General features: G+C 49.1%; 1 protein-coding gene across 3 annotated transcripts; it reads right to left on the reverse strand.

Annotated features, from left to right (window-relative positions):
- Window positions 1417-13127, reverse strand: RLBP1 (retinaldehyde binding protein 1). 3 transcript variants are annotated; one of them, XM_011521870.3, is made up of 9 exons: window positions 13083-13127; window positions 11344-11407; window positions 10512-10623; window positions 10113-10241; window positions 8668-8872; window positions 6608-6786; window positions 3291-3449; window positions 2247-2357; window positions 1417-1991 (listed from the first exon to the last, which is right to left on the reverse strand). In XM_011521870.3, the coding sequence occupies exons 3-9, from the start codon at window positions 10521-10523 to the stop codon at window positions 1833-1835; spliced, it is 954 nt and encodes a 317-aa protein (XP_011520172.1). In that variant the 5' UTR covers window positions 10524-10623; window positions 11344-11407; window positions 13083-13127; the 3' UTR covers window positions 1417-1832. The 3 variants fall into 3 exon arrangements, with proteins under 3 accessions (XP_011520172.1, NP_000317.1, XP_047288883.1); NM_000326.5 differs by having other exon boundaries at window positions 11285-11407; XM_047432927.1 differs by having other exon boundaries at window positions 10512-13127.

Raw genomic sequence — 14463 nt, forward strand, 5'->3', positions numbered from 1 at the left:
TATGACCATGGCTTGTTGACTGTGAATGTTATAAAGAAGGAAGTTTCTTGGGTAATGAGCATACACTACAAACCCTAGGAGTGAGAGAAGAAAGTATGTAAGAAATAAGTGCATATATATATCTATTTATAAATATATATATATATACACCCACACACACACATATGTATACATTGACATATACATGAACATGTACACAGCCTCACTGAAAAGCAAGAAAGAGAACTCTCAGTGGATCAGAGAAATTCCCAAAGGTGTGAAAGCAGATAGGACTGAATTGAATCCAAAGTCCAGAAAACGGTTGGAATATCCTGGCCCAAAAGGTAGGTGCAGCACTAAGGGTGCTTGATACCCACAAAGAATGGGGGTGACCCTACAGGCAAGAGCAGACAAGTCTTGGGTTGATTGACTGGGATGCCTTGGTGGGAACAACAAGCCTCGCCTACTGCCACTAGCCAGCCAGCGTCTGCTTCCATGTGGGAAAATGAGTGTAGCATCTTGGAAAAAGTATCTGTCAATGCTCAGGAGACCCATGCCCAGAAGAAGCCAGCACTTACCCAAGAGGGAACAGCATGCTCAGCAAACAGGGCATCTAACAGGGATTCTCACCTACAGAAATGAGCACACACCTGAAAATCACCAAGCACTTGAGGAAAGCCAACTCCACAGAAGGAAAGCATTTGTATTTGTCAAAATATGCAGATTTGGGCCAGGCATGGTGGCTCACAACTATAATCCCAGCACCTTGAGAGGCTGAGGTGGAAGGATGGCTTGAAGCCAGGAGTTGGAGACCAGCCTGGGCAATAGAGCCAGACACTTACCTCTACAAAAAATATGTAAATATTAGCTGGGTGCAGTGGTATGCGCCTGTAGTCCCAGCTACTCAGTAGGCTGAGGCAGGAGGCTTGCTTGAGCCCAGGAGTTTGAGGTTGCAGTGAACTGTGATTGCACCACTGCACTCCAGCCTGGGTGACAAGTGAGACCCTGTCTCAAAAAAAAAAAAAAAAAAAATGCAGATTTGGAAAGTGTAAGTTCATCACCGTAAAATGCCTGAGAGTGAAGACAAAAAAAGAGCTTTAACTCTATAACTTGAGGACTGAGTGAGTGCTCAGAGAAGATGCCACTTATAATTCGAAGTAGAACTGTCCATCCAGGCAAGGGGACTGGAGGAGACAGCTTTTGGTGGAAAGACTCCTTCTCCCAGACAGATGGAGGGAACATGACTGCCACCCTGGAAAGAGGTCCAAGTTCCTGACCACCCCACACACGTCAGACTGCACCTCAGCAAGGGGAGGAGGCCACCCCTGAATGAAGCCACTTCCAGGCCTCTTCCACCCTGGAATTCTGTGTGGAAAACTCCCAGCCTGCCTAGAGGCCACCAGGACTGCTGCGTTTGCCAAATCATTTGAACATATATCCTCTCTCTTTTATCTTCTTTTATTGCATTTTGGGGGCGAATAGGGGGATATTTTAACCCGGGCTCCTTGCCTGTTTTCACAGACTCTAAGTCGTAAAACTCTGTTACAAAGGAAATGACTGAGAAAATGAATTCGAGTCTTTGAAATACAACCTTACACAAAAATCACTGTCTTAAAGCTTCAAGGGCAGGTGGAAATATAACTATCCCCAGTTCTTCTTGTTCAAGGGAATTCCCCCTCCTTTATTACCCATCCCCCAACTTGAGAACAGGGTGACACCTGAGCTCACTCGGGCTTAGGGAGTCTAAGGGGGGACCACAGTCATCTCAAGCAGCCCTTTCCTAGCCTTGGGTCCAGGACAGTTGAGGAGAGGCCCAGAGATTCTAACTACAGTTCAGCTGGCAGGAGATGTTTTCAGAAGGCTGTGTTCTCAGCTTGGGCCTGGGGGCCAAAGAGCTGCTCAGCAACGGCCTTGCCATCATACTTGGGCAGCGTGCCCCCGAAGTCAGAGGGCAGGATGTTCTCATCGATCTCCTGGTAGAAACCAGAAAGGTCATCCCCGTGGACAAAGACCTGCAGGGAAGCAAGGGAGACAGAACTGAGCAGGAGGAGGTGCCCTAAGGATGAGGGTTGAGGGAGGAAAGGGGCAGGAGGACAAAGCCCCATCATGTGCAGTCTTTGCCTGGCGACACCTCTCTCCGCAGGTCTCCATGTTGGGTGTCAGTGGGATCCACATAGCTCAGGACCATGGTAGAGTGTGAGGAGGGCTCAGGTGAGGCCCCACCCTCAGCCCTCTTGTCTCATTGTCTGGGCGGCCCACGTACTCACCCTCTCAAGCAGCTTGCTCTTCAAGAAGGGCTTGACCACATTGTAGGTCGTGGTGAAGTACCATGGCTGGTGGATGAAGTGGATGGCTTTGAACCGGGCTGGGAAGGAATCCTGCGGTGACAGAGAGATACCCCGTTCCCCATGGCCCCAGTGACCTCAGAGGCTCCCACTCATTCCCTGCTGCCTCTCCTCATGGCATAGAACAGACTTGTCCAGCATCACAGGGCTGCCCTGGAGAAGGGCCCACTGAAGGTCCTATTTCCAGGCCAGCAACTAGGGATCCCTGGCTCACTGTGGCCCAGACTGCACGGAGGAAGCCCCAAGATTCATAAGACCCAACCCTCTCCCTGCTGATGCAAATTAAACTGGGAATTAGGAAAAGAAATGAAAGTAGCCTTGCTTGACCTTTTGGTGAGTTTTTTCAAACCCACTTGCCTGCCGAAGGGACTGCAAACTATTACAAACGACAGGAACAGTATTATCATCCCTCATTGTCCATCAGCCCCTCCCACAACCTCCACCTCCCACCCCTCCTTTCCCAATACACAGAGCAGATCTAAGATGGCTCTAAGAAAGGACTCCTGACATGTCAGCACATATAGGAGTGAGTTATCAGAGGGTTAGTGATAATCCCTTTCTCGGGGTGAATCCACATTCAAAGAGAGGCAGTGCGACATATGTGGACAGACAACATGGGATTCCAGGTCAGAAGATGCAGGTTCAAGTCTGGCCTCTGCCGCTTTATTGCTGTGTGACCTCGAGATGTCTCTTAAATCTCTGAGCCTTCGTTTCCAGGTTTGAAAAATGAAGCAGGGAAGGAGGGAGAGAATGCTCTCAAGGAGTCGATGGAAGAATGAAAGGGAATACTTGGCAAACTGTCAATCACTATGCAGGTGCTTATGGTTGGGACTGTGGCTGTCACTGCTCTTTATGGCGCGAGGTGGTCCAACTTCTCAGTTCCCTGCAAGCACCATGAAAGGAGGCCCAGCCTCTCAGCCTCCCCAGCTGTGGGAGGCTGCCGTGCGACAGAACTCTAAGCCTCACCTGGAGCATGTCCACCATCTTCCTGAGATCTGAAGTCCGGAGACTAGCAGCCTGCTGCATGGTAAAGCCCTTGAAGTTCTCAATGATGCAGAAGCCATTGATTTGAGTTTCCTCATTCTCCAGCAGCTTCTCCAGGATGAAGCAATATGCCTGCAAGATCTTGGGCACAGAGAGAACAGGCTGTAAGATCTAACCCGCAACAATAATTAAGGCTTGAGGTCCTGAGGGGAGAGCTAATTGGTACATTCTTCACTGGGGTAATTTGCTGCAGGCTTTGATCTCGGACATTCCACTTCTGTGAATGTATACCAAGAAAACAAGTTCAAATGTCACATCCATGCTTAGAGGCCAGAAGGTTTATCCCAGTACTCTTGCAATAGTGGGAACATTGGAGACAACCTAAATGTCCAACAATGGGAACTGGTGAAATTATGGTACATTTATGCCATGGAATACTCTGGAACAATTAAAAACAATACAGAAGACTAATAATACAGGAAAATGTGCATGATATATTATTGTAGAATATAATCCCATTATTGTAAGAAAAATGTGTGGGCTGGGTGCGGTGGCTCACGCCTATAATCCCAGCACTTTGGGAGGCCGAGGCAGGTGGATCACCTGAGGTCAAGAATTCAAGACCAGCCTGGCCAACATGGTGAAACCCCATCTCAACTAAAAATACAAAAAAATCAGCTGAGCATGGTGGCAGGCACCTGTAATCCCAGCTACTTTGGGAGGCTGAGGCAGGAGAATCACTTGAACTTGAGAGGCAGAGGTTGCAGTGAGCCGAGATCACGCCACTGCTCTCCAACCTAGGCGACAAGAGCAAAACTGTGTCTCAAAAAAAAAAAAAAAAAGAAAAATGTGTGTGTGTGTGCGCGTGTGTGTGTGTGTGTATGTGCGTGCATACATGTATGAAAAGATTGGAAGGATGTCAATAGTAGAGCTCTCTAGGTAGTAGAATTGCAAATGATTTTAAATTTGTCTGTAATTTTTTTTTTGAGATGGAGTCTTGCTCTGTCACCCAGGCTGGAGTGCAGTGGTGCGATCTTGGCTCACTGCAACCTCTGCCTCACAGGTTCAAGCGATTCCCCTGCCTCAGTCTCCCAAGTAGCTGGGATTACAGGTGCCTGCCACCATGCCTGGCTAATTTTTGTATTTTTAGTAGAGACAGACAGGGTTTCACCATGTTGGCCAGGCTGGACTCGAACTCCTGACTTCAGGCAATCCACCCACCTTGGCCTCCCAAAGTGCTGGGATTACAGGCATGAGCCACTGCGCCCAGCCAATTTTTTGTATTTTCTAAAATGAGTAGATATCACTTACGTAATAAGAAAAAACATATATTTAAGTCTCTTCCTTAATACACACAGATAGGCAGGTGTGCATTTCAGTCCTACAGCCAGTGTCTTATTTGATGGGAAAACCCTAGAGGCATCCTTACTAAGATCAGGAATTAGATAAAGACTTCACCATCTCTGCCACCATTTAATTCTATATTGAAAGTACTAACCAATGCAATCAATTTGTTAAAAAAAAAAAAATCAGGGGCATAAGAAGTGGAAAGGGAGAAGAAAAACTATCTCCTCTACTTACAGATAGTATTATAGTATACTTAGAAAACCCCAGAGAATCCATTATAAAACTAACATAAATTTTAAAAGAGTTCAGTAAAATAGGGGGATATACAATTAAAAAACAAAAACAATAACCTTCATTTATACAAACAATAACCAACTAGAAGATATAATGGAAGAAAGAGCCCCATTTTTAGCAATGACAACAAAATTAATACCTAAGACAAATTTAATGAAAAATGTGCACAACGTTGTGAGGAAAAAATTTTTAAAACCTTTTTATTTTTCAGAAGCAGAGTCTCTCTCTGTCCCCCCAGATGAAGTGCAGTAGCACAGTCATAGCTTATGAAGAAATCTTTAAAACACTCCTGAAAACTCAAAAGTAGGCTTGAAGAAAACAGAAGGCATCTCACATTTGTGGATAGGACAACTGGCCAGGAATGTGACATTCTGAAAGAAGCCAGCTCTCCCCAAGCTTGTTATTTATGTTTAATATTATCCCCAAAACATACTCCTAATATTTCTCCTAAAGCTAGACAAATTAATTCTGAAGATCATAGGGGGAAATAAACATGCAAAAGTAGCTAGAAAAGCCCCCCAAAAAGCAGATCACTAAGGACAAAACTAGCCCTAACAGATTAAACATGCCACAAAATCTCTATCATCGAAACAGTATGATATTGGAGTATGAATAGATAAAGAGACCAATGGAACAGAATAGAAAGTCCAGAAATAGACCAAGCACATACGAAAATATAAAACATGATAAAGATGGCATTTCAAGTCATTGAAAAAAGATGGACTTTTTAATAAATTGTGTTGGCACAACTAGATAGCATTATCTAAAATTAGTTTGGGCCAGGTGCGGTGTCTTATGCCTGTAATCCCAGCACTTTGGGAGGCCGAGGTGGGCGGATCACTTGAGCTCAGGAGTTTGAGACCAGCCTGGCCAACATGGTGAAACCCCGTCTCTACTAAAAATACAAACATTAGCTGGGCATGGTGGCGTGCGTCTGTAATCCCAGCTACTTGGAAGGCTGAGGCTTGAGGATCGCTCGAACCCAGGAGGCGGAGGTTGCAGTGAGCTAAGATCATGCCACTGCACTCCAGCCTGGGTGACCAGAGCGAGACTCCATCTCAAAAATAAATAAATAAAATAAAATAAGTTTGTAGCAGTTTTTTTTTTAAATTAAAGGAATCTTTTTCAGGCTCAGTGGCGCATGCCAAAGTTCTCCCAAGACAAACCCTAATTCCCCAACTTGGGGCAGCCCCCTTAACGGCTCAGACAAGCAAAATTGCGTACACAATTTTGCGAGCACAAAGAACTCGGGCTCCTAAATAGATTGGAACCTGTGCTTTCCAGAATCTCTTCCAGCCTATAGTCCACTAATCCCTGTTCTCTCTGTTGCTCTCAGCATTTAGCATGTGGCAGGGCAGCCCCCAGCTCATGGCACACAGCTGTTACCCCCACTTGGCACTTGGCAGGGATACCCAGGAAGAGCCATGTATTATTGACCATCAAGCTCCACCTGCAAAGCTACTGGGTTTTCCAGCTGCCCTGGCACATCCTAGGAATTCTCTCCCTGCCTGGAAAGGGCTAGGTGGCAGGTGGCTGCCCACCTTTCCCCCTCTACAGACCTTGCCTCCTGGAGAACCAGGAATGAGGGCCCAGTAGAGGCCAGGGTTGAGGGAGGGAACCCAGCCCACAGGGTGGGAGCCAGGCGAGCCCCCACTAACCTCATCAAAGGTGATTTCTTGACTTTGCCAGTTCTCAATGTTGAAGAGCATGACCACTCGGCCATACTTGTCCCGACTAGAGAGGACACCAGGGTAGCCAGCTTCAATGGTGCAGCGGACAGCCTCTGGGGACAGGCTGTCAAAGAGCTCAGGGTACTGCAGCCGGAAATTCACATAGCCTGGAGGAAGGAGAGCAGAGGAACCCCCTCAGGGAGCCATCCCATCCCTACCCCATCCCTCCTAGTGGGACTCAGAGACCTGACCTCCTGCCAGGTCCTATGTGTGACCGAGCTGGCTACTCAACCTATCCGAGCCCCATGTTTCCTCTCCAAAAAATGGGATCTCGATATTGACCTATCTATTCTAGATAGTCTAGATAGTGGCCTATCTCACCAAATTGTTGTGGCAATCAAATGAGATTCAAGGTGTAAACATCATCATAAGCTTGGGCAAACATGAGGCATAGTCTTAAATATGAGGATAATCATTACTTGTTATTTTCTTCCCCATGGGGACAAGACACAGATTTTTCAGCTGGGCACAGGATAAGCTGAGTGGTGAGGTGTGCACAGGGCTGAGGAGAAGCTCCCAAGTAAAATCCAAACCCCAAGCAGGACACAGAGCTCCTGATTCCAGCAGCACCTCTACGGTCCACAAACACCATCCTTACCCATCCTGAGCAGTTCCCCACCTCTGTGGCCTGCACCACCAAATTTGAGCCCCTAGAGGACCTGGGCACCTCTGCCAAGAGACTGCCACATCAACTTGCTCACTGCTCTGGAACACTCTGGGCACCTCCCAACCCCTGGCCTTTGTCTTTGCTGTTGCCTCTGCCCTGGCTGCTCTTCCCCACAGATATCTCATTTCCTTCGGGTTTTTCTTCAAAATTCCCTTTGCACTGGGACTTCCCTGGCCACTTTATCTAAAACTTCAGCCCCTCAAGACTTTATATCCACCTCCTTAATTTCTTTCCTTATTCCTTACCATTATTTAACCCTATATAATTTTACTTTATTTATTGGATGTATTGTTTCCACCATTAGAATATGAGTTCCACCAGGGCAGGGAACTTGTCTGTTTTGTCTCCACTGCATCCCTTGGCCTAAAACAGTTCTTGGCACAGCATGGCCCTGAATTACCATTTGGAGAAGGAAGAAGTAGGAAAAGGAAAATCATTAGCCTGCAGAGGGCCCACTCAGACCCCATTTCCGTCCACCAGTGCCCAAGATTCGATTTCTTGAGGGAACCACCCCCTTTTTTTTTTTCTTTCTTTCTTTTTTGAGATAGAGTTTTGCTCTTGTTGCCCAGGCTGGAGTGCAATGGCACGATCTCAGCTCACCGCAACCTCTGCCTCCTGCGTTCAAGCGATTCTCCTGCTTCAGCCTCCCCAGTAGCTGAGATTACAGGCATGCGCCACCACGCCCGGCTAGTTTTGTATTTTTAGTAGAGATGGGGTTTCTCCACGTTGGTCAGGCTGGTCTCAAACCCCCGACTTCAGATGATCTGCCCGCCTTGGCCTCGCAAAGTGCTGGGATTACAGGCGTGAGCCACCGCAACCGGCCGATGATTTCTTGAGGCATCCTGTCTTCATCCAGCCAGCAGTGCCAGAGCGGTTCTGTCCCCGGGGTTCATTCCCAGGTCTGACACCATCTTCAGTTCCACTGCACATGAGGCTTAGGTAACTGCCCTGAGAGAGGCACTATCCACCTTCCTGCAGCATTCCAGAGCCAAAGCTTAGGTTCTCATGGTGGGGGTCTGGAGGGGAAATTCCTCCCCTCGTCACCCAAATGGGGTACCCAAGTTTTACTCATTGAATCCCAAGACTGGGAGAGAGTTGAGAGGACTCAGACCTCCAGAAATCTGCTCCTGACACACTTCATTCATTCATTCGTTCGCTCATTATCAGAGCTGACCCATTTTACAGGTAAGGATGTGGAGGCTCAGAGAAACTGACTTGCCCACAGTATGGAAGCAGGCCTGTTCAGTGCCAGGATGAGAGCGGATAGCATCCTCATGGCCTCCCGTCTTCCCAGGGCCGTCCCTCCAAGCACTGGCCTCACCTCTGAGCAGCTCATAGGCACGGCCCACGTTGAACTTCCGTGCGCGGATGAAGCGCAGGAAGAAGCCGCTGTCCTTCTCTTGCACCCTCTCCGCCACGGCCACCGCCAGCTCCTCCCCCGAGGCCGCCTGCGCCTGCACCATCTCCTGCAGCTCTCGCACTGCCTCCTCCCGGGTCTCCTCTCTCTCGTTCAGCTCATCCTTGGCCTAGAACAGGGTGGGGTGTGCATGAAGTTAAACTTAGGTGCGGGTGAGGGGCAGGACACACAGGTGATGAGTCTCCTGCCAGAGCTAGACCAGCCAAGGGGGCCCAGGGGTCTGCAGCCGCAGCTTTGCTTTTCTGCCCCAGGGGCAGCATCTGCACTGGCAACACCTGAGACTGTTGTGTGTGGAGAGAATTCGCATATTTGCAGAATATGGCCAACAGTCTAAAAGTTTCTAAAAATGACTGCCTACACTCACTGAGCCTTTGCCTAGCAACCTGCTAAGTCCTTTAAATGCACTGTGTTTTTTAATCTTTGCCACAGACCATCATGGTAGGTGTTCTTATCCCCAGCTCTCAGATGAGCAGACTGAGGCTCATAAAGGTGAAGATATTCTTGCTCAAGGTCACCCAGAGAGAAAGGAGTGGAGCTGGGACTCCTCTTTCCATCATTTCACTCTGCTGCCTCCCAGGCTTGATTCTGATTTTTTCAAAAACACGGCTCTCTGGCAGATGGCAGCCTGCCTCCTGCCCAGAGCCTCACATTCCTCCCCTCTGCTGGGTCAGGAGAACTCCTCCGTGCGCCTCAGGCAGCTCTCTCCTTGGACAGCATGAGGAGGGAAGGGAAAGGAGGGGGAGTAAAGTGTGAAGGAGCTAATAGCACCTTTCCCTTGAGATGCCCAAGGAAGCAGAGATGGAAGCTGGGTGCCCAGGCTCAGCTCAGCCACTTCTCATCCTCCCCAGCAGCCCTAAGACAGCTCTGTCAGCCTCCACAGAGCACAATCTGATCACCTCTGAGCTAGTCCACCAACCGTCTTTCATAGATACAGAAGGCAAGACCCAGAGATGGAAAGCAATCTGCCTAAGGTCACACAGCAAGCTGAAAGTAGGTCTGGTTCTGGAACTCAAGTCTCTTGCCTGTCTAGCAGGGGCAGCAGTTGGATCCTTGTTCCCCGGGGCCATTTCCAAACCAATGCTTCTCATATTGAGTCTAGTTTAGAGGGCCCTAGTTCCGAGGCTCTGGGCTGTAGTCTTGGGTTGGGCTGGCCTGGCTGGGTGTCTGGTCAACCCAGTTGCTGCCATAGCCGTGACCACCAGGAAGGACCTTAGAACCGGCCAGTCTATCAGGTCCAGGATGATCTGGAGTGCCGAGGCTGGACCCTTTTCACAGGAGAGAGAATGCAGTCATGTTCCCCTCATGTTGCCTCCCTAGGCTGCTCCTCTCCGCACTGTCAGCCACCTCACCTTCTGCAAGGTGTGGCGGGGCAGCTGGCTGCACGGGCCAAAGACAGGTCCATGGTCCTTGGTTGTGAGCTGCTCCAGTTGGGCACGGAGCTCCTGTTCCTCTTCAGGTACCATGCGGAACGTGCCCACCTGGGCAGAGAAAGGAAAAAGAGGAACAGCCAACCGCATCAGCCTGAGCCAGCCAGGGAAATGGGCCTGCTCAGACCTTCAGTTCTTTTGCCCAAGGTCATTGTTAAGCCTCCTCCTTTTGTGGGGTCAGGACCCACACAGGGGTTATAGAAGTGTGTGCCTATATTCCCGGGCAGAGCATAAGATAGAGAAGTAAGGAGGGAGGGAGAGGGAAGAGAGAGAAGAGAGGGAAGGTGGGTGGAGGAGAGCCCTGGAGGACAGGGTACTTACCCCTTCTGACATGTTGCCTATGGAAGACACAGAGTCCTTGGAAAAAGAAGGGATCTGCTTTCTCTGTCCTGGCCTCTCCAGCCGGCCCCTTCCCTAGGATAGGAAGTCAGGGCTGCAGGGGTTAGAAAAACCATTCTGTTATTGTCTCAGAACTGTGGATCTCAAACTTTCAATTGCATCAGAATCACCCGAGGCATTTGTTAGAAACGCAGGTGCCTGGGTCCCAACCTCCATGATTCTGACTCTGCAGGTGCAGGCTGTGGCCTAGGAACCTGCAATTTAAAGCACTTCCTGGTGGCTCTGAGGGAGATGGTTCTTGGGCTACACTTTGGGAAACACTGCTTGGACAAAGGGCACAGACACAAATAGCTCAGTCCTTAGATGTTAAAACAAGTTGGCCCTGCCAGGAAAAAAAGAATCTGGCTCTGTTCTCAATGACATGATCACTGCAGGATAAGGCAATCTCTCCTCCCTCCTGTGGCCATCCTTCTCCAGCCCGAAGGAGTCCCTCAGAAACTTCGCAGCCTAGTGGATGGCCCTTTCCCCAATGCATTCATTCTCAAGATGGGTGATGACCAGTTACATAAGTACATAATCACGAGACTGGAAGTGTGTTCTGTGCTTTGTGATGCACTAAGTACTTTCAAATCCACTCTCTCAGACCCAGGGTCAACATTATTATTTCCATTTTACATAGGAGGAAACGGGAGGAGGAATAAGTGACTTGTCCAAGGTAACACAGCCAAAAAATAGCCAGGGATCAGTACTCAGACCCAAGTTGTGACTTCCTGTCAGGACCAAGAGGCAGCCTGCTGTGGCGCAAAAGTTGGACCTGGGTTCAAGTTCTTCTCTTCCACTTGCAGGCTGTGAGATTTAACCCCAGTCTTGGTTGTTCCCTGTAAAGTAGGATGGAAGTGTTATGAAATGTAATGGACACATAAGCAATGCTTGGTTACCAGAACAGGTCCCATTCATGGCCCACATGACAACCTGCTTCCCCAGTGGGTATTTTTGGAGACAGCTCTTCTGTTTCCAGGTTTTCTCTCCTGCCTAAATGTCCTGCCTAAGTGCCTTCAAGAACCCTTCACCATCCTGCTCCTGCATGTGACCAGGTTCCATGGTCAGTTCAATCACCTAGTCACAGTTGGTAAGTGACAGAGTTGGGACTTGAACCTATGCCTGCCTGACACCAAGTCTTTTTTTGACACCTAGAGCCAAGACATCTGAAGACAAACTCCCTAGGAGAGCTGGCGTCATAGAAACCTTAAAGGTTAGGGAGACCTGGGTTTGAATCAGGCTTTGTCAGTTATGACTTGTGTGACCCTAGCAAGTTATTTAACCTTTCTGGGTCTCAGTTTCCTCATCTGCAAACTGAGGATAATAACAGTACCTACCAAAAAGAACTGTCGTGAAAACCATATAATTTCTGCAATGCTCCTGGCACAGTGTCCTGTTCTAAAGCATAGTTCCCCTTCTCTTTCTTAGCTCCATATTGATTATTACCCTAACTTGCACAAAGAGACTTGGAGGACCCCCATAGAGTATCGGAGGGTCCCCCATTTCCTGCTCTTTCCACTCCACACCCCCAGCAAGCACAGGGAAGTTCTGGGGGCCATAATCCACCCACAGGAACCAAATCTAAGCCACCTTTCTGGCTGGTAGACATCCAGGTATGTGGGCACAGAGGTAGACAGGCTGAAATGCTGCTGTGCTATCAGTTGGGTTTTGCTGGAACAGGAATGGAAATGGAGAGGCTGACAGAACTGCCCTGGGGAGCCCAGGCAAGAGGGACAGTGGCTGGACACCCCCAGCCAGTTGTGCAGACCATCAGAACAAGATCCTAGATTTTAGGAATACAGGGTTCAAGTCCGTGCGGCAACTCTTTTCTAAATATGCCCAAGCCATTAACTTTGAGTTTTAAAAATACTGATTTACAAGCTGTACACAATGAAAAAATGCCTATCCCTCACACCATGCTGATGCTGTTCCCTGCCATCTCAGATTACCAATTAAATACAGAATGCCCAGTTAAATGTGAACTTTTTTTTTTTTTTTTTTTTTGAGATGGAGTTTTGTTCTTGTCGCCCAGGCTAGAGTGCAATGGTGCGATCTCAGCTCACTGCAACCTCTGCCTCCCAGGTTCAAGCAATTCTCCTGCCTTAGCCTCCTGAGTAGCTGGAACTACAGGTGCCCACCAGCACGCCTGGCTAATTTTTGGTATTTTTAGTGGAGATGGGGTTTCACCATGTTGGCCAGGCTGGTCTCGAACTCCTGACCTCAGGTGATCTGCCTGCCTCGGCCTCCCAAAGTGCTGGGATTACAGGCGTGAGCCTAAATGTGAACTTTTTTAATACTAAAAAAGTATTTGCTGTTCATCTGAAATTCACATTTAACTGGGTGTCCTGTATTTTTATTTGCTAAATCTGCCATCAAATTGGTCTGGCTCAACCTGGAGAATGGCCAGGTGGTTTCAGTTTTACAGGCATCTTGGGACGTGGTCTCCCTGCTCCCCTGAGTCCTCACCCCAGTCCTGGGCTCCCTGGCCCAGGCAAGCCCCAGGTATTGACTTACCTGCCAGGTCGGCAGCTCCTCCTTGGGGCTACCTGGTACCTGAATGTCCTGGAGCTCTAGAGGTTCCCTCCGCTGGAGGCGTGGTCCGGTCAGCAGGTTGGGATTAGTGTGTCATAAGGAACTTCTCACCGCCCACAGTTTCCGTTAAATCGGGCTCACAGGAGGCCCTCAGTGGGGCAAAGGAAGACCCAGAGAGAAAGGGGAGAGGGGAGAGGCCTGGGCCTGGCTGGAGGCGCATCAAAGCCCTCCTTTGTGTGCTCCTGCTCTGGAGTTCCTGCTCGGCCATGTGGAAGCCCGGCTGTGGGGCTGGGATCTGGGCCAGTCCCATTCCCTCTTTTCTCTGCCCTCTTTCTCCTCAAGATCCCGGGGTGGGGTTGCTGAGAGAGCACCCCCCCCCCCCCACCACCACCACCAGGGTAATAAGAGGTGAAGGGAAATCGTAAATATGACTACATCTACAGTGGCAGCTCTGGCAAATCCAGGCCTATTGCCCACCCCTCCCCCAGCCAGCAGGACCTGGCATGGTAGTTTTCACCTCTGCAGTGAGTGGGGTCAGTTGAGAAATGTGGCTGGTTAAGGCCAAGCAGGGAGAGGACAAGACAGGCTGAGCCTCCTTCTGGGCAGTGTGGTGCAGTGGCATGCCCTGGAACCAGACTGCCCGCCTGTAAAGCCTCGCTCGAGCATCTTCTGGCCGGGAAACATGACTTCAAAACTCATCGGCTCAGTTTCCTCCTCTAAGAAGTGTAGAAAACTAGAGGACCAGGCTCATGACTTTAGTGCGGATGAAATGGCAGTAAAGTGCTTAGTTCAGGGGTTTAGCTGCCTGACAATAAGTCCTCTGGAAAGGTCAGTTACTCCAAATACAGTATCAATAGGTGCCTAACTGGAGGGAACTTATTATTCAATCCTTTGTACAGGAAGAAACCCCTCTGCAGCCTCTCAACAGGTAACTTCCCAGCCTCTGTTTTGCTATTCCACTGGATGAGGAGGAGGTAATTCCTGTAGAACATTTTCTGTCTAGGATTCCAAGGGCGGGAAGCTCCCTGTTTCCATTACTGGGGAGCTCTCCTTGTTTAAAACCTCATTGTTGGTTTGAGCCCCAAGCAGCTTCCTATAATGACCACCCTTGGTCCTGGTTTTGCCTCCTAGAGGTGCCCAGGAGAAGGTCAAGCTCCCCTGCACAGGTCGCTCTCCAGAATCCAACCCCAGAAGTGCTTTTTTATTTTCCCTGGACATAGTTCTTGCTTTTCCACCCATTCCTACTTTGGCAGGTTTGGGATTTCTTCCCACCACCCCATCTCCTGCCGACCCCTTCCTCCAGAGCAGGCTGCAATGCCTGGTGCTTAGATCTTGGGGTGCATTTGAGTCACCTTGAGCTCTT

This window comes from Homo sapiens, chromosome 15, assembly GCF_000001405.40.
Source record: "Homo sapiens chromosome 15, GRCh38.p14 Primary Assembly".
NCBI lineage: Eukaryota > Metazoa > Chordata > Mammalia > Primates > Hominidae > Homo > Homo sapiens.